Below are 24,972 nucleotides of genomic sequence, written 5' to 3' on the forward strand. Positions count from 1 at the left end.
CAGCTAGGTGCAGAGTTCTAGTAAATTCAATCAGGTAAAAATGTTAATTATGTTATGTAAATTTTCTGTATCTTTCTAACTTTTTGCTCTCTTATTCTATCAGTTATTGAGAAAGATGTGTTTAAATCCACTATTATTGTGAATTTACCTGTGTCTCCTTTTAGTGCTTCCCATTTTTGACTTATTTATGTTGAGAGTGTGTAATTAGGAACATTACAATTTAGAACTGTTACATCTTCTTAGCAGATAAAAATTGATATCAACATGAAATGTCCTTAACTTAAAAACATTCTAGCATTAGAGTCTACATTGCCTAATGTTATTATAGCTGCACCAGCTCTCTTAGTGTTTTGTGCAATGTGTCTTTTAAAAATGCTATTACTTTCAACTTTCTGCATACTTATATTTAATGTATGTCTTTATAAGTAGCCTATATTAGTTTTTGGTTTTATCCAGTCTGATGATAGTCATTTTTAAAGTAAATTTCTATCAAAATTTAACATAGGTGCAAAAAAGTGAATAATTCATAAGGGTACTGTTCAGTGAATTGTTAAAAGGTAAAGGCAGCTGTGTACTGAGTACCCACGTCAGAAAACAGAACATGGCCATCACGTGTGGGCACCTTTTCATGCTCCCTTCTCATCACTGTTCACCCAAGGGTGAATACTGTTCTAACACTGCACATTAGCTTCACCTGTTTTGAATTTTATGTAAATGGAACACTATATAAATTCTGATTCATTAAAATATTTAACAAAATATTAGTAAAAAAATTAAAATTTACATTTAATGTATTTTCTGATATTTTTGTGTTTAAATCAGCCAATTAACTACATTTCATATCCATCACACATTTGATAGTTTTTCCTCTCCTTCTTTAATTTCTTTTGAATAAAGTACACATTATTATTATTGTGCCATTTCCCTTCCTCTATTAGTTTGCTATTTGTATACTTTGATTAACCTCTTCCTTGCAAAGGGCCCCAGCGATGATAAAAATGGAAATATTAGTCTATTAAAGTCTATTAGTCTATTAAATTTTATATAAATATAAAATTTATATTAAAATATAAATTTCATTCCACAACTTCCCAGAAAATACAAGAACATTCAGACACTTTAACTCTGAAATTTACATTTCTCCCATCTTCTGTGCTTCTATTGTCATGTACTTTAATTCTCTACAGGATTTTAATCCAAAAAAGGGATTTTTAGTATTATTATTTATTTAAATTTACCTACACACTCAGCCTTTCTATTACTCTTCATTTCCTCCTCCATCTCTGTGCTTCCATCTGTGATCATTTTCCTTCTGTCTAAAGAAGTTAATATTTCCTTTACTCTAGCTGGCAATGAGTTCTCTCAGTTTGCTATCTCTATATTTTCTATGGTTGCTGTCTCAGTTTACTATGCTATCATTTTTGAAGAATATTTTCACTTGATATAGAATTTTACGTTGATCACTGTTTTCTCATATCATTTTGAGGATCTCATTCCATTGTCTCCTTGGATTCAAATATTTTGTTGGAAAGTCAGCTGTCAGTCTTATTATTGCCCCACTGAACAATTTTCTCTGGCTTCTTTTAAGATTTTCTCATTGTCTTTGGTTTTCACCAGTTCTGAAATCCATGATGCTCTTTCCTGTTTCACAGCACTTCTTGAATGTATAGTTTGGTATTTCTTGTCAGTTTGGGGAAATTCTCCATTATTATTACTCAAATATTACTTCTGCCCCATTTTCCCTCTCCTGCTGTGACCCCTTCACTATATCCCGCATGTCTCTTACATTCTTTTCTGCCTTGTTCATCCTTTTGCCTCTTCACATTGAAGCTGGATAGCTCTGTCTTTATTTCTAGAGTTCCCTTTGTAAAAAAGATTTTAATTTACTACTGCAGGTCTCCATTTTGTGATTTAGTCTTTTATCAGAGTTCTTTTTGTTTTTCTGAGATGGAGTCTCGCTCTGTCACCCAGGCTGGAGTGCAGTGGCGCAATCTCAGCTCACTGCAACCTCCGCCTTCCAGGTTCAAGCAATTCTCCTGCCTCAGCCTCCTGAGTAGCTGGGACTACAGGCACCCACCACCACACTTGGTTAATTTTTGTATTTTTAATAGAGATGGAGTTTCACCATGTTGGCCAGATTGGTCTCGAACACCTTACCTCAAGCAATCCACCTGCCTCAGCCTCCCAGAGTGCTGGGATTACAGGCGTGAGCCACTGTGCCCGGCCTATAGTGGTTTTGGGTCTATTCTGCTTTTTTTCTCTCTCTTGGTTTTTCAGTCAGGCCTTGTTTTCTTATAATCTGTTTTTTTAAATTGAATACTACATATTATATGCATAAAATTGTAAATACCACTTAACAGGATATGTAGTTATCTTCCAGTGAGCACACAGTTTTGCTCATGGTGAGGATTTAGGCTATGAGCAGACTACCTTAATCCAGAGTGGATTGTCAAGGATTAAGATGATTTGAAGCTTAGCTGTGTCTTTATGAAGGCTTGCCCCTTGTCTATTTCTAGCTTATTCTTACTGCTAGGGTGTTGCTTTTTACTGTTCCAACTGAAAGTCTGGATTTTTACTAGATTTATTTTCCTTGGTGGGCCCTGAACTCCAATTTTTGTCCTTTCCCCTAACCAATAGTGCTGCCATGTCTCTTGACCTCTCAACTGCTGCTTTTCTGATCAGCATTTGACTGAAGGAGAGATGGGTACCATTGCTGGATGCACCTCTTTCTCCAGGTCTTGGCATGTCTCTGGTCCATCACATGCACACATGCATGCAGGCCAGCAGCTTTTCTAGTTGTTCCTGGAGAGATGCATTGTTTCAAAACAACTTAGCTGGGCATTGTACCAACTAGAACCCCACATTTCAATAAATAATTTTTAAACATAAAAGGTTACAATTTTAGAAATTATCTTTACATTTTATTAGAAATGCATGTCTTAATGAAAGAAGTAGGTGTGCTTTAAAACATTAATTTGTATATTCATGGATAAATATGACTGATTTCTAGAATGAGACAAGTTTAGAATCAATGCTATTTCTAATCATTAAATGTAAGTGCTGAGAAAGTTGTTCACATAAATAAATATATAGAAATAGAAGGAGTTTTTGTACCAATGTCATTTAATTCTTTGAACTGCTTCTTTGAATGCCAAAATCACACAGTGATCTATCATCATGCATTTGAAAACAACATTTCAGCTGACAACTCAATTAAGTTTTTCTTAAATAATTAAAAAGCAAGCACTGGAAACATCTTTTCTTTTAAGTTCTGTTATTTTGTTACTGGATTCACTCACTTTCCAACATTTACATCAATATTTTGAACCATCTGTCTGGTGCTAAGGCATTTATATACCATGTCAATGCATCTTAGGAATATTCTTGATGAGTGAGAGGTATCTTTTTCTTACATATAACAGGAAAGAACATTTTTTAGTCAGGATGACTTTAGCAATAGGTATGGACGTTGAGGATCTTAGAATTGGTTTCTTTAAAACTAATCTTGCTCTTGGAAATCCCTGGGAATTAAGTCTGAAGACTCCTGAACTCAGAAACTAGGCAGCAGAAGCTGTACTCTATGGGAACTGTGATATCCTGGAAGCAACTGGGCCCGAAGTGATGTTGACAGTTGGAGGTAAGAGGTGAGATCCATCTGACAATGGCATAAGGGATTCTCTTCAAGGTTATCCCCCAACTAAAGCTCTATGTGCAGAGCAGAGAGAGGAAGAAACTTCGAAGCCAGGGCAAATAGGACATCCTAATTACGATCTACTAAGATGATTACAGACTCAGATAATGGGGTGAGAAGGTCCTATCTCCACCCATCAGAGGTGCTCTGACTGCAAGTCCTGCAGACACCGTTCATTTGGGTGGAAGTCATGTGTCTCTGAGAAGGGATGGGACTGCAACCCAAGTGGATGGAGACTGGACAGGTGCAATCCTTCTGCTCCGTCTCTGCAGAATGGTCTCTCCACAGTGAAATCCCAAAAGGGAAAACATCTGCCCTTACCTCTAATGTTAAAACCCAGAGTGAATAAATGACTGGCTAGGCAACGGCCAGCAATAAATGACAATGGCAAAGAAATGGAGCGTGGAAGAGAGAGCAGTTTCAGATTTAGCAAAGTTTTAGAGGGAGCAAAGTTAATTATTCTGAGGTGAATTTTTTTTTTTTAGTTTTTTTTTTAAATTTATTATTATTATACTTTAAGTTTTCGGGTACATGTGCACATTGTGCAGGTTAGTTACATATGTATACATGTGCCATGCTGGTGCGCTGCACCCACTAACTCGTCATCTAGCATTAGGTATATCTCCCAATGCTATCCCTCCCCCCTCCCCCCACCCCACAATAGTCCGCAGAGTGTGATGTTCCCCTTCCTGTGTCCATGTGTTGTTCTCGTTGTTCAATTCCCACCTACGAGTGAGAATATGCGGTGTTTGGTTTTTTGTTCTTGCGATAGTTTACTGAGAATGATGATTTCCAATCATCCATGTCCCTACAAAGGACATGAACTCATCATTTTTTATGGCTGCATAGTATTCCATGGTGTATATGTGCCACATTTTCTTAATCCAGTCTATCATTGTTGGACATTTGGGTTGGTTCCAAGTCTTTGCTATTGTGAATAATGCCGCAATAAACATACGTGTGCATGTGTCTTTATAGCAGCATGATTTATAGTCATTTGGGTATATATCCAGTAATGGGACGGCTGGGTCAAATGGTATTTCTAGTTCTAGATCCCTGAGGAATCGCCACACTGACTTCCACAATGGTTGAACTAGTTTACAGTCCCACCAACAGTGTAAAAGTGTTCCTATTTCTCCACATCCTCTCCAGCACCTGTTGTTTCCTGACTTTTTAATGATTGCCATTCTAACTGGGGTGAGATGGTATCTCATTGTGGTTTTGATTTGCATTTCTCTGATGGCCAGTGATGGTGAGCATTTTTTCATGTGTTTTTTGGCTGCATAAATGTCTTCAAATACCTAGGAATCCAACTTACAAGGGACATGAAGGACCTCTTTAAGGAGAACTACAAACCACTGCTCAAGGAAATAAAAGAGGATACAAACAAATGGAAGAACATTCCATGCTCATGGGTAGGAAGAATCAATATCGTGAAAATGGCCATACTGCCCAAGGTAATTTACAGATTCAATGCCATCCCCATCAAGCTACCAATGCCTTTCTTCACATAATTGGAAAAAACTACTTTAAGGTTCATATGGAACCAAAAAAGAGCCCACATTGCCAAGTCAATCCTAAGCCAAAAGAACAAAGCTGGAGGCATCACACTACCTGACTTCAAACTATACTACAAGGCTACAGTAACCAAAACAGCATGGTACTGGTACCAAAACAGAGATATAGATCAATGGAACAGAACAGAGCCCTCAGAAATAACGCCGCATATCTACAACTATCTGATCTTTGACAAACCTGAGAAAAACAAGCAATGGGGAAAGGATTCCCTATTTAATAAATGGTGCTGGGAAAACTGGCTAGCCGTATGTAGAAAGCTGAAACTGGATCCCTTCCTTACACCTTATACAAAAATCAATTCAAGATGGATTAAAGACTTAAACGTTAGACCTAAAACCATAAAAACCCTAGAAGAAAACCTAGGCATTACCATTCAGGACATAGGCATGGGCAAGGACTTCATGTCTAAAACACCAAAAGCAATGGCAACCAAAGCCAAAATTGACAAATGGGATCTAATTAAACTAAAGAGCTTCTGCACAGCAAAAGAAACTACCATCAGAGTGAACAGGCAACCTACAAAATGGGAGAAAATTTTCGCAACCTACTCATCTGACAAAGGGCTAATATCCAGAATCTACAATGAACTCAAACAAATTTACAAGAAAAAACAAACAACCCGTCAAAAAGTGGGCGAAGGACATGAACAGACACTTCTCAAAAGAAGACATTTAACCGAGGTGAATTTGCGTGGGAGCTTTGTTTCGTTTTCTCTAGTTTTTATCTGATGGAAATCAGACTGGAGGGGGAGTGTTGTGTGAATCCCAGGAGGCAGCTGTCTAATCAGGAGTCTGTGGGCCCCTCTCCTGTATCTCCCACAGGCTCAATCTGTGAAGTGGGCGAGCATTGCTCAACCTCGCAGGCTGCTGCCTCCGGGCCATTTTCATGGCTCCACAGGGAGCATGGAATCTGGTCAGCTGAGATCTTGCAAGTCCCCCCAACATGACTGAGGAAAGCAGGGCTTTCTGAATCTCTGCCTCAGGGATCTGTGGGGAAGGCGGCAACAAGGGCGATGGGCTGCCTTTCACAATTTCAAACATTAATCAGGGACTTGGGGCAAGATTTTGGTTTCATGACAACTTTGAGGGCGTGGTTTAGCTTTATTCTGTCTTGTTTCCTCATCATTCCCAGGGAACATCGCAGGGAAATGCCCTTAATTAGGGCTCAGTTTTTAGGACCTCCTCTTATCTCTGTCTAGAGTCTGCCTTCTTGCTGGGTATTCCCATCTCGGGCAGTCTTCTACATCCTGATTGGAAAATAGAGCATTAGTGAGAACTTAAAGGACAATCAATGACAGCTGTCACTAAACCCATAGGCTTTTGTGCAAAATAATAATAATAATGATGATGATAAGGTATTTCTTCTTCAAAACATATAACTTCCACCCATTAGAAAATTATTTTGATACACTTATTTTTTTATAACACTTTTTTGGCTTGGACCAAAAATTGTCAACACAAATATGCAAATCTGTAACGTCTACAATACGGACGATGCCCCCCATAGATGTGGCATCCTGTGCAATTTACAGCTTTCACAGCTGTAGCTGCCATCGTACCTCAAACCCCTTCATCTACAGCTGAGAAAACAGAGGCCTCCTATGGGAGAGGTGAACCTCCCAAGGTCTCCCGGCCTGCCAGCCATCGGGTCTAGCTCTGGTACTTTCCACTGTGCGCACTGCCTTCCTGAAGGAGACTCGCTTCCTGGCAACTCTCTCCAAGGACCGCCAAGTTGAGCCCATAAAAATTACATTTCTCCAAACTTCCTAGAGCCTAGGTTTCCCCTTCCAAGTGTAGCTCCTGCTGCCTGCCAACTTTGACACATCTTGTAACAATAACCCCTGTGCGCTGCATTTTATGTGTTGCGAGACAGGTGTGCAACTGTTGAATGCATGTCTCAAGAGAGCTTATTAAAACAGCTAAGCCAATTAACTCTCCTAGAAGCACGTAACCTTTTCCAGGAAAATACATCTGAGGCACAGAAGCTTGTGGGAACAAGTCCTTGGGGGAAAGCATGGCCTTTGATCTCAGAGACACTTTTCCTGGGGTTGGCCTTGCCCACGGGGCTGGGGGACGTTTGGCGGTGGCTCCCTTCTGATGCAGGGAGGAAGAGGGTGGGCTAGCCTGAGCGCAGGGTGGCCCTGCAGACTGGCCTTGTGTGCAGGGGTGAGAGCAAGCTGAGGAAGACAAATTAGATGAGAACCAACTCATCCATTAGCGCTGACTCTGAAAACTCAACTGAAAATGACCTACTGGGCACACAAAGTGACTAATAGGAAACCAAGATGAGAGGGAACGTGTGCCATACCCAGGCTGAGTCTCAGCTTCAGGGAGGCAGATGGTGAAACTACAGCCAGGCATAATGAGGCCAAAGGCCGCGCTTTCATCTCTCTATCTGCTGGTTAGCTTTAGATCAGGAAAAATCCCTGGCCCAGGGTCAGCGACTGCACTTCTTCCGAGTGGGACCAGGTGAGAGGAATGAATGACCACGACTGGAATTACAGCCCCTACAGGCCACTTGACATAAGCGATCCACAGGGTCTTTGTGTCTGAGGCACGTGCCTCATGACCTTCTCAATCTTGAAAGGATTACAGTGACTCCATGCTTCCCACAAAGGAAGCCCTCTTGACTTTCTGCACCACACGGTTTTCCTGACCAAAGCCTCCTTCTCCTTCTCCGAGGAGCTGGTTTCCTCGCATTTGGATCACAGCAGACTGAACCTACCTGGCATGCAACATGCTGACAAGTCCTTTAATGCAAAGCTCATCAGGGTTGCTGAACCTCTTGCCCCTGTCTAGGAATTCCTTCCTCACCCCTCCAATTTGAATCTCTGATTCCCAAGTCTTACAAATGGCCTTATCCCTCATGTCTACTGGAGTCTCATGGTCTCCCAGCCTTCTCAGGTGGTTCTGAGCCACTCATAGGAAGAGCTGAGGCAAGGCGGGAGCAGTGTCTGTGGGCCCTGCAAAGCCTCTTCTCTGCAGTTTTTGGGCAGCAGCCCGGCACCAGCTCTCCTGGACTAGCCAGTCCTGTGCCCTTGTCAATCAGCTCCGCCTCTGCCTCAGTTCTGTGGGTGAGCCCTGAGACATGACACGATCAGGCTCTGTCCTCCTCCCCTTCTCCATGGACCTCGTGGCCTCTCCCGCTGTGCGTCCCTTTCCTGGGAGCCCCGCTTTCTGTCATTCATTGGCCCTCATGGCCAATCCCGGAATTCTCTGGGCAATCTGGAACATGGCTCCTGCTGCCCTCTGCCCCTCTGCAGCCCAGTGCGGGGTCTGCAGAGAGGGGGAGGGAAGAGCAGAGAGAGGCTAAGGGATTTCTGCGCGCCTCGCAGTGAGTGAGTGGCTGCATGGATCTGGAATCCATGTTCTGGCTTTTTAAAAAAACATCTTCTGCCCTGAAGTTCCTCAAGTGCTCCAGTGAAGTGCTGAAAACACTGTAGCTGAACAGGAGGGACAGGCAGGTAGGGGGCGCAGCTGTCTGCACACCAAGGGCTCAGGTGAGGCAAAAGTGCCACCTCTCTGTCCCACCACAGCGAAGTCCCTCTAACAGCGCCCTGGATCAGACAGCCAAGGGCCCACAGACTCAGCTAGGAAAGGTGCAGCAGAGGCTGGCAGGGCCCCCCGGGCCCCCAAGCCACCTTTCTGCTCTAGGAGGGGTTTGGTGCTGACAGAGAATGGGGCCTAGGCCTAGGAGGAAGGCGTATGATGCGGAAAGGGTGCAGACTGCCCCACTCACCAAACACCTCAGACTCTGGCATTCTCCTCTGAGGGCTAATTTAATATGTGGGTACCTACCTGGAGCCCTCTTCGTTACTTTGCCAGGACTCCTCCCTCCAAATCTACCACCCCCAGACTGTGCTCTGGGGAGTTGGGCTGGCACAGCTGGGAAGGCCAGCAGGAGCCCCAGCAGTGCCAGGCCCTCTCCAGACCTGGCCAGAAACCAGGTCCCAGTGCAGGGACCTCGCAGGCGGGACGGGACAGACAGCCCCAAACGGCAGCCCCGCCACTCACTTTCCTCTGCGTGCTCCTTCAGACTCCATTTCCCCAGCCCTGTGGAACGGATCGGGGGCAGCCTTTCCCCTGGGGTTCTCTGGAGAGACCCCTCTTTCTGCAGGAGTCTGGAGCAGCCAAGGCTTCCCAGGGAGCCTGACGTCAAGTCCAATGGCCTAACTAAGGTAGGAGGCAAAGGGAGGTGGCAGGGCTGCCTCACCCAGGTCCTGAGCGCTGCTACCAGCGCCTGCTCCAGGTCAGATGGCACTCTCCGTGGGAAGGAACCTTCTTCACCCTAAACAAGCTCCGAGCAGGCAGGACACTGGAACCCCAAAATCAGCCCAGAGAGAGGCCTCAGGATGTGTAGCTGGCACTTGACCTTGAGAGCAACAAGGTCTTCTTCACTGGGTCCCACCCTGGGGTACAATCCCGTACTCATCGTTCCTTTATGTAAGGCACTGAGGACTGTTAGGATGAAATAGTGTGTGGCCTGACAGCCCACGGCCCCGGCCCTGGTTGAAATCTCCTGATCAGGTCAGCGGAGGACAGAGGGCACTGAGGAAGGAAGGGCAGGCCCAGGGAAGGATTGGGCCCAGCAGGGCAGACCAGGTGGAGCGCCAGGAGGAGGAGGAGGAGGTGAGCAGCCTGAGAAGGGCCTTCCCGCATTCATGCGCTGGTCTAGCCACTGCCTCAAGGAGAGACCCTGAAACACAGTTCACTTGTTCTGATTTGCAGGCGTCTGAGTGCAGCGTTGCATGTGGAACGACTCGCTCAGCCTAGGGAACGTCAGTCCTTCCCGAGTCCCTTCAGCCTTATCTCCTCTCTTCCGCCCTTCCTCCTTCCTTTGCCTTGCTGCTTCCCCCTTTCACCTCCCTGCCTCCTTTTCTTTCTTCCTTCCCTTCCTTTCTATCCTCTCCCCTTTTTCTTCTTTATTTTTTCCTTCAACATGAAAGCATCAAATGACACATTTTGTTTTCCATTCCTGAGGCAGCGCTCAATTGATTTTAAGAAGTGGTCACAACACAGCTGCAAGGAGACGTGATGAAGCCCGAGGTTGGTCTCCTTTGCCCGCTGCACGCGTTGTGCTGTGATGCGATTATTTTTGACACACCTGGCTACATAATTAGGCTCTAAGCTCCTCGGTGGCAGGGCTGTGGCACATTCCGACTGTGCCCCATGTACACAGGCCACACAAGAAAACCACCATGGAATGAACACATCAGTGAACGGCATAGGCAGTTGATGTCCAAATTTCTTTTTCAGAGAAACTCTTTTCCCAAAGAAGTTCCAGCCATCTCCTGCCTCCCCAGCCCCTGAGCCACTGCAGCTTGACTGGGAAGCTGAGGGCAAGTGAATGCAGTTTGAAAACCTCCGATAGATGTGCGATGCGTGTCAGGGAATTCCTTACTGTAAACCCATAGGGGCCAGTGACTGCCCAAGAATAAATGGAGTATTATGCAGTTGTGTTGAAACAAATTTGGAACAAAGCAATCTGGCTGGAAATAATTTGGTTAGCACACCAGTTTGGTCAAAACAATAATTTGGTTTAAAAGGAATATTCATGACTCTGTGATTTTAAGTTTTTCTTTTTCTTTTTTTTTTTTTTGGTTTAGTTTGTCTGCTGTTACTTACCCTGTCCTCTCTTTTTTGTGTATATCCCAGTTCATTTTCAGCCAATTTTCAAGCGTTGACTAACAATGTTTAGAAATTAGTTGAAACGGCCAGGCGCAGTGGCTCACGCCTGTAATCCCAGCACTTTGAGAGGCTGGGAGGAGTGGATCATGAGGTCAGGAGTTGAAGACCAGCCTGGCCAAGATGGTGAAACCCCGTCTTTACTAAAAATAGAAAAATTAGCTGGGCATGGTGGTGGGTGCTTGTAATCCCAGCTACTCGGGAGGCTGAGGCAGAGAATTGCTTGAACCTGGGAGGCAGAGGTTGCAGCGAGCTGAGATTGCGCCACTGCACTCCAGCCTGGGCTCCAGAGCGAGACTCCGTTTCAAAAAAAAAAAAGAAAGAAAGAAAGAAAGAAATTAGTTGAAACAACCTGAATTGTTTTTCTTGCTATAAAAACAATGCATCCTTGCTACACAAAGTCAGAAATTATAATGTTAAAGAAATGAAATAGCCGCAAAGTCCAGAGCTGGCCGGGGTGCCCCGTTAATAAATGCAGATGCTCTTTTTGCAGCTCAGCAACATTAAATGCTCACGATGCCCACTCTGTCTTGCATTCTTTTGGCCTCTGGAACAAGTGTGTGTCAACAGTTGTCAAGTAGTGTCACTGTCTCAGGGAAGCCTCTCCCTGCCTCTCAGATGGGATGGGGCCCTCATCAGATGGCTACGCAGAGAGTGATACTACCTCCCCTTGCTTTTCACAGCTCTGCTGGGGCTTCTCCTGCTTCTGAAGCCTCTCCTCCTTGGTGTCCTTTGCAGGCTCACCCTCCTCCATCTGGTTACTAACAATTAGATTTCCTCAAGGCTGTGTCCAGGACCCTTTTTTCTTTCCAGTTCTGCACTCTCCCTGGGTAAACTTCTCCATTCCCACAGCTGCATTGACCTCTGATGCGTCATTGAGTCACGTCTTTGTATCTCCAGCCCTCTTCTCTGAGCTTCAGACCTGCCGGCTCGACGTCCCAGAGCCAACTCCGAATTGATGTCCCTCTGCCTTCAGACTGCTTCTCTTTCAGCTCCACCCGATTCAGTGAAGAATCACCATCTATGCAGTTCTGTGAGCAAGAAGCCCAGGGCCATGCCTGTCACCGTCCAATCCCTTACTCCCAAATCCAATCCATCAGCAGGTCCTGGCAGTTCCAATTCCTAAGTGTGCCTCCAACCCAGCCATTTCTCACCACCTCTGTTGCCCAGTCTGAGCGATGCTCACCTGCTCTCCGGGTTTCTACAGTGACTTCCTGATGTGTCAGTTGCCCTCATTCACCCACCCTGGATGTCTCCATTCCATTCAGGCTGCAGCCGGAGTAGTGCTTTCAAAATGCAAGTATGATGCCATCACGCTCTTCCTTAAAACCTTCCAGTGACTTCTCATTCATTTCACGATCAGAATAAATGCTTCAGCATGGGCCAGATGCTCATGCCTGTAATCCCAGCTCTTTGGGAGGTTGAGGTAAGAGGATTGCTTGAGTACGGGATTCGAGACCAGACTGGGCAACATAGTAAACCCCCGCCACCCCCGACCCCATGCCCATCTCTACAAAACGTAAAAAACTTAGCAGGGTGGGGAGGTGTGCCCCTATCATCCCACCTACTTAGGAAGCTGAGGTGTGAGTATCCTTTGAGCCCAGGAGGTCGAGGCTGCAGTGAGCTATGATTGCACCAATGCACTCTAGCCTGGGCAACAGAGAAAGACCCTGTTTCAAAAAAAAAAAAAAAGTATTCAGCTTGGCTCTTAGAGCCTGGCCTGGCCTCAGCCTCTCTCCACCTTATCCACACCACACCTCTCCTCCCTTCTTTCAGTGTCTTGAAACTTGCATGCTTCCCACCCCATCCAGGGCCTTAGCACCTGCTGCTCCTTGAGTCTGGGGTCTCCTTCCCACCTTACCCATCCCCTCGTGTCACTTTCTAAGGACACCTTTGTTAACCCTCTCAGAGGGAGCTAGACTCCTTATTAGATGATGTCATCATGCTTGCTTTTCATTATTGTACTTTTGATAACTGTACTTTTACATTTATTTTGATAAGTATTAGATCATCTATCTCCTTCACTGGATGGTAAGTTCTCGGGAGGGGGTGCAGGTGAGGAGGGTCTGTATCTGCTTTTGCTCATGGTTGTCTCCTGAGAGTTCATTCCAAGGCCTTGAGTCACACCCTTTAAAGATGTTTTGTGAAGAAGTGGATTTGCCATGATTTGTGAAGGTTGGAAGTTCGTCCCTGGATTTCTCGTTAAAACTTTCTAATCAACATAATGGATGCTGCTAAAAAACTATGCACTCTTTTGGCCAAGATACCATCCTGCAAAGGGAGATTGGATGTGGTTAGACAGCTATAAAAACTTTTGAACACTGCAGGAATCACTTCTGCAGACAGCAGTCCAAAGAGGCAGCATCTCCTCTATTTCTCTGCAGCAGAAATGGTCGACGCCTAGAAACCCTGCAGAATGCTTTTGAAGATCATTTTGTGGAGACAATCTCACTCTTGAGATGTGAATTTGCAATCCTTTTCTTGCTGACACAGACAACATCAGCGATGCAGATCTTGCCGAAGTTACTGACAAAGGAAATGATGCAATGTGAATTCAACCCAAAGAGGCTTACAGAATTTTGACCCAAGCCTGCCCTTGCCAGACATTAATTGCAGAAGCTTAGGTTTCAGTTGATACTTTGATGAGTTTTTAACACATTTCTATTGCATTAAAAAACCAAATCAATTAGCTATCATAGGTATGTGTATGTTATCACATCAAGGACCGCTTGGCAGTCCTCAGCATTGTAATCTCTTATACTACATGAGAACAAAAGTGTGAGTGTAGTGGATGTGGATGCATTCTTCTGGAAAGACGTTTACAGTTTTTATCAGTTTCCTAAAGAGGTTCTTGACTAATGAGGGCAGGAACCAGCAAATTATGCCTTGACTAAGGCCTCTTCCAGTCCTAAAATTACATAAACCACAAAGTCTAATGCCAAACTGGTAATGTTATTTAAAAAATAGTGGATATCCAGACCACTTGTGTTTGCAGTGTTTTGACATCTGCCTGAAAAAAATTCCAGTTTTTATCCAGAGGATTGGTGTCACATGCATAGAGGCCGTGACTTAGCTATCAGGTTTACTCACGCCTCTGTATGAGCAATGCTGAGCTCCTAATTTTCCCTGTGCCTGAGCCTCTGCTTCTAAGGTCAGCCTGACTGAAGGTTGTCAAGGACCTACCATGGCAGGAAAGAGAAAGAGGCTGTACCTGATCCATAATTCTTCACCAATAGCCACTGCATGCCTCCTATTATCCAGATGATGTCACCTTGATTGTAACAAGCAAAACTTTATAGAAGCTGAGTCAAATGCCCACCCACTAACTCCCCACTCAGCCCACTGCTGGAAAGTGTGGGATTGGAAACCAGGTGGAAATGTGTCTTTCTCTACATAGAAGGTGTCTTATTGGTCTGAAGGCCTGCCCTGGGCAGGAAGAGGCCAGGAGAAGAGCCCAGACCCACACCCAACACCATTCCAGGAGCATATGAGTGGTTGCATCCAAGTCCTCCCTACTGCTTGGCTGTAGGGAGATAACATTGCAAAATGCATGGTGGGAGATGTGAACTTAGAACTCCAAAGAGTTTTAAGCACAGACTCTTAAAAGGTTGCTATTTTTTATTCCTTTTTTGTATTTTACAATAGTCGTAAAAATAAACTTAAAAACTGCTGCCAGCATGTAAGGTGGCCCTGCTTATCCAAAGAAATCAAGCTGCATTTCTACACCATATCTTACTATTCTCCCATATTCCCTATTTTCCCTCCTTCCTCCCATAGTTATTCTCTGCTTTGGGTTCTTTCCAATATGAAGTGAATGTTGGAGTCTTTTCCTCACCGCCCCCAACCCCTGCCAATTCTTTTAACATTCAACTAGAAGGATAAGGTGGAGGGATTAAGTGAGTGAACAACACACACTCAGCTCTTACTCCTTGCAGTACACTACTGGGTCATATATACAATTTCTGGCTGATTTGGGGGGCCTCCCCTGACTTAGGGCCTGGGATCATTTCCAGAGGCATATTTCTCCCTGCACTCCAATGGCAACACTGGGTGGCGTGCTAAAGGGCCTGTTGAACTATATTAAACGCCTCAAGACTTGAGGTGGAGTATGTTGGACTCTTCACTGTGGGTCAATTTTTCAGCCTGCTGCTTTATCTACCTGACAGGAAGACTTGAACTAGTGCCATTTCTAAATTGCACTTCTAAATATTGACTTAATGGCGAAACTCAGCGTGTCATAACCCAGTTCACTAGAGCAACGAAGATTTTCCAGGCCTCACCGAGAGGTCTGTACAATATCCTGTGGGGAGTGGAGAAGGAAGAGGAGGATTTAAGAAGAAAAATACAATCAAGTTGTGTTTTGAAGAAATGCCCCTGCGCCTCACTTAATCTTGCAGAGACACATGAGTGCTCATTGGGCTATTGGCTGAGGCTGGAGGGAACCAGGGTAGACAGAGAAAGGATAGCAGCAACCAGAAATACTGCAGCTGCCCCCCAGGAAGATGAGAGGGTGCCAGGGCACACCTTGCTGGGCTGGCAGCAGAGACAGCTGGCTCTCTGAGAGTTTCATTTGAGTATCCAGTTTAGAAGGACTAGACAGTGTCTGAGAGACTAGAGACTTTATTCTATATCTATGAAGACTTCAGCACAGCCAGATCTTCAGCAAATCTTCATTTAGGTCACTGAGGAAACTCTAGGAGGCTATCTTTATAGCTTCTTTCCTCCTGACAGTTAACACTGTAAATGATCTTAAGGCATTTTTGTCACATCCCATTAGCTGTTAGACTGTGAATCAGAGGAAGATATTGGTCCCTTCTTATCCTGAAGGAGCTGTTTTGGAGGAGCAACAAGATATTTTTCATGCAAATTAGCTTTCAGATTTCTTTAGACACTCAGTGCTATATAAATTTGTATTCTCCAAGAGGAGCTAAAAGCCTGGAGCAGTGGCTCATGCCTATAATCCCAGCACTTTGGGAGGCCAAGGTGGGTGGATCACCTGAGGTCAGCAGATCAAGACCAGCCTGGCCAACACGGTAAAACCCTGTCTCTACCAAAAATACAAAAATTAGCCAGGCGTGGTGGTGCACGCCTGTAATCCCAGCTACTCTGGAGGCTGAGGCAAGAGAATCACTTGACCTGGGGAGGCAGAGGTTACAGTGAGCAGAGGTCATGCCACTGCACTCCAGCCTGGGCAACAAGAGTGAAACTCTGTCAAAAACAAAAGGAGATAAAGCACAATAATAATACCCTGTACTGCTGCAGAGAGAAGTGTGTGCAATACGGCGACTGCCCCTCAGTAGGATCTCCTCCCACTTGGCTGTAGCACTGGCATCCTGGCAGATGAAAGGCCCTCTCCAGGAGATCTTATGTGGAGGGGGCTCAAGGGTTGTTGGCAGGAAGGTTTTGTGTGTGAGGGTGTGTTCTTCAAAGGAGGAAAAACTTAAGTTCTAAGATAGTGAAAGTCAAACTATCCAGTTATCATGGAAGATAATCCTCATGGTATTGGCCACATTCATCTTGATGCTCCTCAGATTTGTTTCCGGGTGGTCCCTAATGCAGTGTGCCCAATCCATTCCCTCTGCTATGCCTGTGTATGAATTTGTTGATAATAATGCCTCTGAGAATGACCTCAAAGTGCAACAAAATCTTTGTGCTTTGACCTCATCACACTTGCTAGAAGAGTCAAACTCACCCCTGGATTTGGCTCCTCTAGCAAGCCTGATGAGCCTGCTCCGTGCAGTGACTTCCTTCCTTAAATCTAGTCCAACTCCACGAAAAGTTATCTCCTTGTAAGATAATGGAATCCTCCTAAACTCTTCCTCTTCCTTTGCTCAAAGGTGTCTTGCGTCAGCCGAGGTGGCTGCTATGGAAGGAATCTTAGGTGTCTTCTGAAGAAATTGTGATCAACCCCCCTGAAGCTGTGTCTGCTGGGAGAGCCTGTGCTGGCTATGTCTTTGTTGCTTGGCCCAGCTGTGAATTCATGCAGCCTGCCCTGGCCTTCAGAAGCTCACCTGCGGGTGAGGCCACTGCTCTGCAGCAGCTTGTACGGTGCGCGCCACGCCGCACCACAGCTGGGTGGTGGGCTGCCCTCCGCGGTCTCCGTGTGTCTGTGTTCCATGTACCTCTGAGAGTTGCATAGCCTGGAGTGCCCCAGCAGCTCCCCACACACCCACCTCTATCCAGCATCCTCCAAACTCCTGCTGAAGGCCCACGCAATCCTTGTGGGCCTTCACCCCCTCTCCACTGCCCCCTCCCTGCAGACTACACATCTCACAACCCACCGCCCACTCACAGACCCATCAGGCTGCCGCTGTCCTCAATCCAGACCAGTTCGACCCCCTCAGCCACTTCACCCCATCTCCTACAGGCTGCTCTTCATTTATGCCTTCAACGTTCTAGGCCTCCCCTGGTATCTTCCTCCATAATGGCCATCATCAGGATGACACCATTGAGAATCAGGAAAAAAGTGTCTATTGCCACGGGCGTGGGAAAGGTAAACTGACCACTTACCTAAATAATGAATCCCACCAATGGAAAGACAATGGGAAGCGGGTTGTATTGTTATCACTGAATCCTCTCATCCTTAATGAAAGATATTCAGTGACCAAGATGAGGGTGTCCCGAGGACTTCTCACAGCAGCCGAGGCAGTTTGCATGACTACTTACCTCGTTGAGCTAGGATGTAGCATGGGAGTCTTAACACAAAGGGACTTCATTTCATGGACTACCAAAAAATAGCGAGTGCTTTCAATTCTCTTTTCAATATTGTAGAGGAGCTCAATGACGTATGGAAATGGTACACTGTTTTTTTTTTTGTAAAGCAAGTAAGCACCCTATAATTTCTCTCTCCTGTATATCCAACATTTTGCACATGAAAAAAAGCAAGCTATCCTGTGGTGTTTGCTATGTCAAGAGAATCAGGAAATAGCATTATCTCTGGTCTGATGTTAGAGAGTTAAAAACACATTTTTCAAAAATGTGCCCATAAGACATATTTCTTTTCTTTTTCTTTTTTTTTCAAGATTGAGTTTTGCTCTTGTTGCCCAGACTGGAGTGCAATGGCGCAATCTCAGCTCACCACAACCTCCGCCTCCTGGGTTCAAGCGATCCTCCTGTCTCAGCCTCCCGAGTAGCTTGGATTACAGGCATGCACCACCACCCCAGCTAATTTTGTATTTTTAGTAGAGACAGGGTTTCCCCATGTTGGTCAGGTTGGTCTCGAACTCCTGACTTCAGGTGATCCACCCACCTCGGCCTCCCAAAGTGCTGGGATTACAGGCCTGAGCCACCGTGCCCAGCCAATACATATTTCTTAAATAAAGATCCCATTTTCCAAACCACGGCTTGGTCTTCAAACAGTAACTTGACACCGACTGTCCTCAGAGACTCTATGATGATTTGAGATTTGGAATGGATGTTCACACACTCACCTGGCCAGTAGTACATGTAGACCTTCCTTTTGGCCTTGGTCAGAGTGACCCACAGAGGTTCTGATCCATTCCACCAGAGAGGCATTAGGCTGTCTTTGTTGACGCCAATGTCAAAGGACTTGTTGGTGGTGGGGTCCCACATGTAGTTCCCGATCATCTGATGGACTTCACAATGGCGGCCTATGTCAATGAGAACACAGCTGTCAGTTTACGGTTCTGGTGGTTTCTATTTTTATCTTTGTTTCTTGATCATATAAGCCATTCGTGCTCGTTTAGGAAGTACAGAACAGCATAAAGATTTGCTTTTGACTTTAAAAAAAAATCAGATTTTTTTTTCTTAAGCTGTGCCATGAAGGTAGACAATCCAGTTAGATGTCCACTAATTGATGGAGGGTGGGGTCATTTAGAGTGACGTCACCCTGTCAAGTCAGCTGTTTTAAGTTACACTGAGGACACTGTGCAGAGCTTGAAGTCTAAATATGAATTAGCATGGACATCTGTGGATTCCTCTGAGACTTGGTCTCAGATTCTCACCCCAGAGCCCTCTCTGCACCCTCCAAACCCTCCTCCCGTGAGATCAGCAATCTAGCTGTTATAGCGTTTATTCTTTCCTTTCTTAAATAAGAGGAGTTGTTGCTTCAGCTCTGAACAGTGATAAAACCTATGACGTTTGGAACAGAATAGCGAAAAATAGATTCAACTTTGAAAAACAAAGCAGGAAAACAACCCTTCAAATGCAGTGTTATACAGAAACGAGGGCTGGTTCTGTTGAGCACAGCTTAGTCCCAGAAGACAAGCCAGAAGTGAGAGACGCAAACGCTTGGACTCTTTTGAAACATTAGGCTTAAATTATTTATTTTGGAGCAATCTGTTACATCTTTAAAGTAAAAATAACACAAACATTGGCAAGTGCATCAAAAATTGCTGCAATTTTAGTGAGCGTCATTTGGCACCAGGACGAAACATGCTTCACTGAGCTCCCTAACTATGCTTAATCAAGTGGCTTTTCTTCTTTGTTTTACTGTTGTTGTTTCTTCTCCCCACCCCTCCCAAAATTTTATTTTTAAACAGAAACAAAGAAAAATTATAAAATACTATTTGGAAAATAGACACTAAAAATATCAAATGGAAAAACCTTTCATTTCATCCCAGAAAGCAAGGCAGGCCACAAACTATGCTACTGTGCTCCCAGAGATCCCAGCAAAAATGGTTTTCACCCAAAGCTGTAGAATTAGTGTTTTGATCTTGACCAAAACTTTCACATTAAAAAGATTAATACAATTAAAAATAAAATAAAATTAAGATGTTGAGCAATTTTGGCAATGGTTAAGGAAGTTATTTTATTTATTGTTTCAACTAACATGTATTCAGTGCTCTTACATATATAGTCCTATGTATTGTAGGCTGTGATAGATGTAGAGATTCCAATCTGAATAAATGTCATGCCCATCCTCAAGAGACTTGTAATTTAATACTCAACAGAGGGTCCTCTGTGTAAAAGAGCCAGGCTTCCCGGGGCTGGGTCTGAGAAGGAGGACAGGTTGCAGCCACAACTTCAGAGTTATGATGACCCTCGCTCACCCTGTTGCAGAGGATAATTCCTAGTATGTTCTCACCAACTCATTAAAAGTAGGGTCCTAATCTATTGGTTCAACTATATTATCGTTTTTAGTATATGAAAGTTGAATCATATTAAGAGAGCCCCTCTTACAAGTAAAAGTACTTATCTATTTCCTTTATTCAAAATTTTGCATTCTGTGTCACAAATTGTATTATCCTAATGATGCTTACTCATCCTTTCACAAGGCAAAATAACCATGATCATATCTGTAGGAAAAGGCCTCCTTCGTGGACAGTCTTTCCTCATAGAGAGATGTTCTCTGATGCCCTTCCAAGTGCAGGAGGTTATCTCAACTGCAGCTGGTGTGCAAAGAAGCTGAGCAAATGTGCAAAATTGGAAGGGGGTGTGGGAAGCATCATTCCTGAGGTCAGGAACCAAAGAAGAGCCTCTGAATGAATCATCAGGAAAGGACCAGGGATATCAGACATGGGAATAATAGGGAGAGATGCCGAGGGAGAGGGGTGGAGGGATCTCTGCTTCCAAGCTTGAATTGTTTGGACCATTTTAGAACAAGGCCATGAAACCCAGAGATAAATGGAGGCTTCACATGATGTAGTTTTCACAAGGCTGCATACAAGGAAGCATGAAGCAACCAAAAAACAGTTTTTAAAGTACATATAATCTATACTTGTATATCTCAGAAACCCCATATCATTTGGTGAAAATTTCTCTCTTCTCTTCAACGCACATATTTAGCACTCTGGACTCTAAAGTGTCCAAACTCACTCATTCTTCTTTGTTCTCTGCTCTCTGAGTAGAAAATTATAAGGAGCTTCTTGTGGATTGCAGAGCTGTTGTATGGCTGGATTGTGTGTGTGCATGCATGCACAGGTGTGAGAGAGACAGAAACACAGAGGGAGACAGAGAGAGACAGAGAGAGAGATGGAGAGAACATTCTCCCAGAGAATTCCTATAAGGTGGAGCGCTTTCAAGAAGGTCACCTCAGACTCCTGTGGAGAAAGTTGGGTTTCTTCTTTTGGTGGATTGGGCCCTGAGCTGAGATGGGAGGGTGTGCTGTCCCCAGGGCTTCCTTTGCTCTGGGAAGAGCAGCCTTTCCCGGAAGCTGGCAGGAGGAGGCTGCTTCAGATCTTGTCCCGCCTTCCCATGAATACAGTAAGGCTGCAGTCTGTGCTTGGAACAGTCGAAGTCGACTCAGACTCAAGCTGATTTCCCTACCAACCCTCTGCCTCTCTTGCTCTTTCATTTTTATTGCCTCGGTAAAATTGGTGGCTGAAAGAACAGAACAGAACACAATGTACTGGCTTCTGCAGCCCACGAGCTCTCATCTCCATATTCCTGCCTGACCCATATCTATTTTTATACAACTGCAGTTCTGGGTTTTTCTCTGGTTGTGCTTTCCAAACAGAGCTTGGATGTGGTGTGGTTTTTTGGTCTCTTTGCTCAAGGCTTGAGTAGAAACTTTCCTGACATCCTCCAACACCACAATTGCAAGTGGTTTTCAGGTATGATGTAAGGAATGTCTACAGCTCTTCCTCCTCCAAATGACTACTCTGGGGGCTTTGAAATATGTGTTTGCCTTTCTCAGAGAGAGCTCCTGGAATCGTTCCCATAGCTAGAACTGCTGTATGAAGGGGGTGGGATATGACACCTTCGGTGTTCATTCCACAGAGTCTTACTCAAGCATGTTCGACGTAGTGACCATCACAAGAAGTTTCTTAGCAAGGCCCCCAGAAACTTCTGCACCATGTTATATGTTTCATCTCAGAAATGGCTGGCCTTCACATCTCACGAGAAGGTAGAGGATATGTCCATCTTACCTATAACTCATGGTCACAGAGACTTTCTCTTTGACTTCTGAGTCCTCTGCTCAACTAGACTCAAACTTGGGCTTCCTTCCTTTTTCTTGTAGAGTCCAGGTTGAGCAAGAATCCTGCTAAGTCAGTTTAGTGATAATCCTCCACGCTTGGTATCTGACCACCCTCAATATCTCACCACCCTGCCTGCCTTCAGCAAGAGTTCTGTTGAGTAGATCTAGCCAGAATTCATTGGCCAGAATCCCTTGATGTTTCTTCTTAGTAGTTTTGCATCCGCTGACCCCACCATGTTCCTTGTCTGTCAATCTCTACTTGTCTGTTGTACTTGGAGTGGAGCCCAATCTCTCTCCCACTGCTGGATCCCACTGCAGCATCCTTCCGTCTATCACAGTGGTTCCTCCTTAAAGAAAGTTAGCCTTACCATCTTTAACAAGCATCATAAATAAATTCGTTCTTTCTCTTTCTTTCTTTCTTTCTTTCCTTTTCTTTCTTTCTTTTCTTTCTCTCTCTTTCTTTCCTTCCTTTCCTTTCTTTCCTTCCTTTCCTTTCTTTCCTCTTTTTCTCTTTCTTTTTCTTTCTTTCTCTCTCTCCTTTCTTTCCTTTCTCTCTTTCTTTCCTTTCTTTCCTTTTTTTCCTTCCTTTCCTTTCTTTCCTTCCTTTTCTCTCTCTTTCTCTCTTTCTTCTTCCTGATCTCACTTTGTCACCCAGGCTGGAGTGCAGTGGGGCAATCATTGCTCACTGCAACCTTGACCTCCCCAGGTTCAGCCTCCTCCTCAGCCTCCCAAGTAGCTGGGACCACAGGCATGCGCCACCAAACTTGGCTAATTTTTTTTTTTTTTTTTGTATTTTTTGTAGAGACAGGGTTTTGCCATGTTGCCAAGGTTGGTCTCAAACTCCTGGGCTCCAGTGATCCACCCGCCTCAGTATCCCAAAGTGCTGGAATTACAGGCATGAGCCACTGTGCCCAGCCAAGTTTCTCTTTAACAGTGGACATCTATAAGGTTGCTACTACTTAGATTTCAATCAGTCTTAATTTTTTCTCATTGTTTTCAAACAGTCAATGTCAATTCCTTTTATAGTTCCTTACCTCTTTTATTCTTTTTGCATCCACTCAACATGTATTTATTAGATAATGTTTGCATGCTAAGGATATAAAGATAAAAAAGAAATGGTCTCTGTCTTTGGCTCACAGTCTGCTATGGACAATAATATGGCACAGTGGTTAAGGGAACGAATCTTGGAGCCAGATTGCATAGGTTCAAGTATAAACTCTACTAATTACTGTCTGCATGATCTTGGACAAGTAGCTTAGACTCTCTGAAGCCTCCATTGCCTCATCTGAGTAATGGGTATCGTAACAATTATTGTGAACAGTCATCCCTTTGCATGGCAGTGTCGAACCACAAAAATGGCTGTGCAAGCCAAAACCATGAAAAGCTATCTTAATAATCAGCGGGGTGGGGTGGGGGGAATAGGATTGTTCTGTGACACTTAAAAATGTTTGTCAAAATATTGAAAATTCTCCTACTCTCAGTTATACAGGAAAATGAAGGAAGAAGTGTACAATTATAATTTATGAGTATTTTATAATTTACAGTATTAGAAACATGGAGAATTAAAGGGCACTATCTCTTTGTAAGAAATTTATGAAGAATGCTTTGAATAGTGCTTGGCTTCTTCTTCTAGAGATATAACAAAATATGAGTGAACATCTTTTCTATGCCTTAGGGAATTGTTATCTTCTTTCTAAGTTTAGATTGGCTTTCGACATCTTATCCTTTGTGCTTTCAATGTCATAAAATAGCTCCAGGGGTTCTTTAATGTGAAGTTTTTGCTGGTGTCACTTCCTCTGGGACAACTGCATCCTTTTTTTCACAACTTTTTTCTTCATTTATGTCAATAAATTCACCATCACTAAGGTCCTTGGGCTGCATACCTAGAGCTTTGTAAATGATGTCAGTGTCAATATTCACATGGTCAATGATCTCTTCCATAATTCCACTTACATTTGATTCAAATCCTGCAAAGTTATTTTCCAGTACAGTAAGAGTTTCTGCCATCCTCCATGCATATTACTTGCTCTTCCTATCTGTCGTGATGCTTGAATGTTTCTGGCTACATGTTTTATGTCATAGTTCTTCCAAAGCTTAGCTGAATAAATTGCATTATCTCCGATTGTATCATCAATAACCTGTCTGAAATACAGCTTACTTACATCTAAAAAATAGGCTTCAAAAGTTGCAATAACTTATTGCCCCATTTAATAGATGATTAAAGTTGTTTTTATAGAAAAAGCAAATTTGCTCATATTCTTTCAAGTATTCAAGAGGGTCAGCGGGACCTGGAGCATTATCCAACAATAGTAATGCATTAGAAGTTGAACTATATGGGTTTATCAGTGGGACACAGGGAGGCAACACAGCTGCATGCTTTGCTGTCTGTGCATGAGCTAATATTAGACAAGCAGCAGCCAATCACCAGCAGACTATGAAAGAAGTGATGTGATTGACCAACAATCATGATGCATATTTGTTATTTGCATAGTGATAAATAGTCCTAGTGGACTGAGGACTAGCAAGGAAGTTTATAGTTTATGCTACAGTAGCTACAATTAGGGTTGCCAGATTTATTTTAGTCAATATACTGTGGTAACTGAAATTTGAATCATGTTGTTGGAGAACTGACATTATTATTTTTTATTTTTTAAATATCTTATTTCAATAGATTTTGTGGTATAGGTGGTTTTTGGTTGTGTGGATAAGTTCTTTAGTGGTGATTTCTGAGATCCTGGTGCACCTGTCATCAAGCAGTGTACATTGTACCCAATGTGTAGTCTTTTATCCCTCACCCCCATCCCACCCTTTTGCCATGAGTCCCCAAAGTCCATTACATCATTCTTATGCCTTTGCATTCTCATAGCTTAGCTCCCACTTATAAGTGAGAACATGCGATATTTGGTTTTCCATTCCTGAGTTATTTCACTTAGAATTATGACCTCCAGTTGCATCCAAGTTGCTGCTAAAGACATTATTTCATTCCTTTTTATGGTTGAATAGTATTCCATGGTGTATATATACCACATTTTCTTTATCCACTCATTGACTGATGGGCACTTAGGTTGGTTCCATATTTTTGCAATTATGAATTGTGCTGTTATAAACATGCATGTGCAAGTGTCTTTTTTATATAATGA

At 43.8% G+C, this 24,972-nt stretch overlaps 1 protein-coding gene across 1 annotated transcript in view; it reads right to left on the reverse strand.

Annotated features, from left to right (window-relative positions):
• Positions 1-24,972, reverse strand: part of ENPP6 (ectonucleotide pyrophosphatase/phosphodiesterase 6) — a 129,168-nt gene that overhangs the window by 46,465 nt on the left and 57,731 nt on the right. The window contains exon 2 of the mRNA NM_153343.4: positions 18,384-18,563. Within this exon, the coding sequence (NP_699174.1) occupies positions 18,384-18,563 (180 nt within the window). The remainder of the gene's footprint in view (positions 1-18,383; positions 18,564-24,972) is intronic.

The sequence above is a fragment of the Homo sapiens genome, chromosome 4 (genome assembly GCF_000001405.40).
Source record: "Homo sapiens chromosome 4, GRCh38.p14 Primary Assembly".
In the NCBI taxonomy this organism is placed as follows: Eukaryota; Metazoa; Chordata; class Mammalia; order Primates; family Hominidae; genus Homo; species Homo sapiens.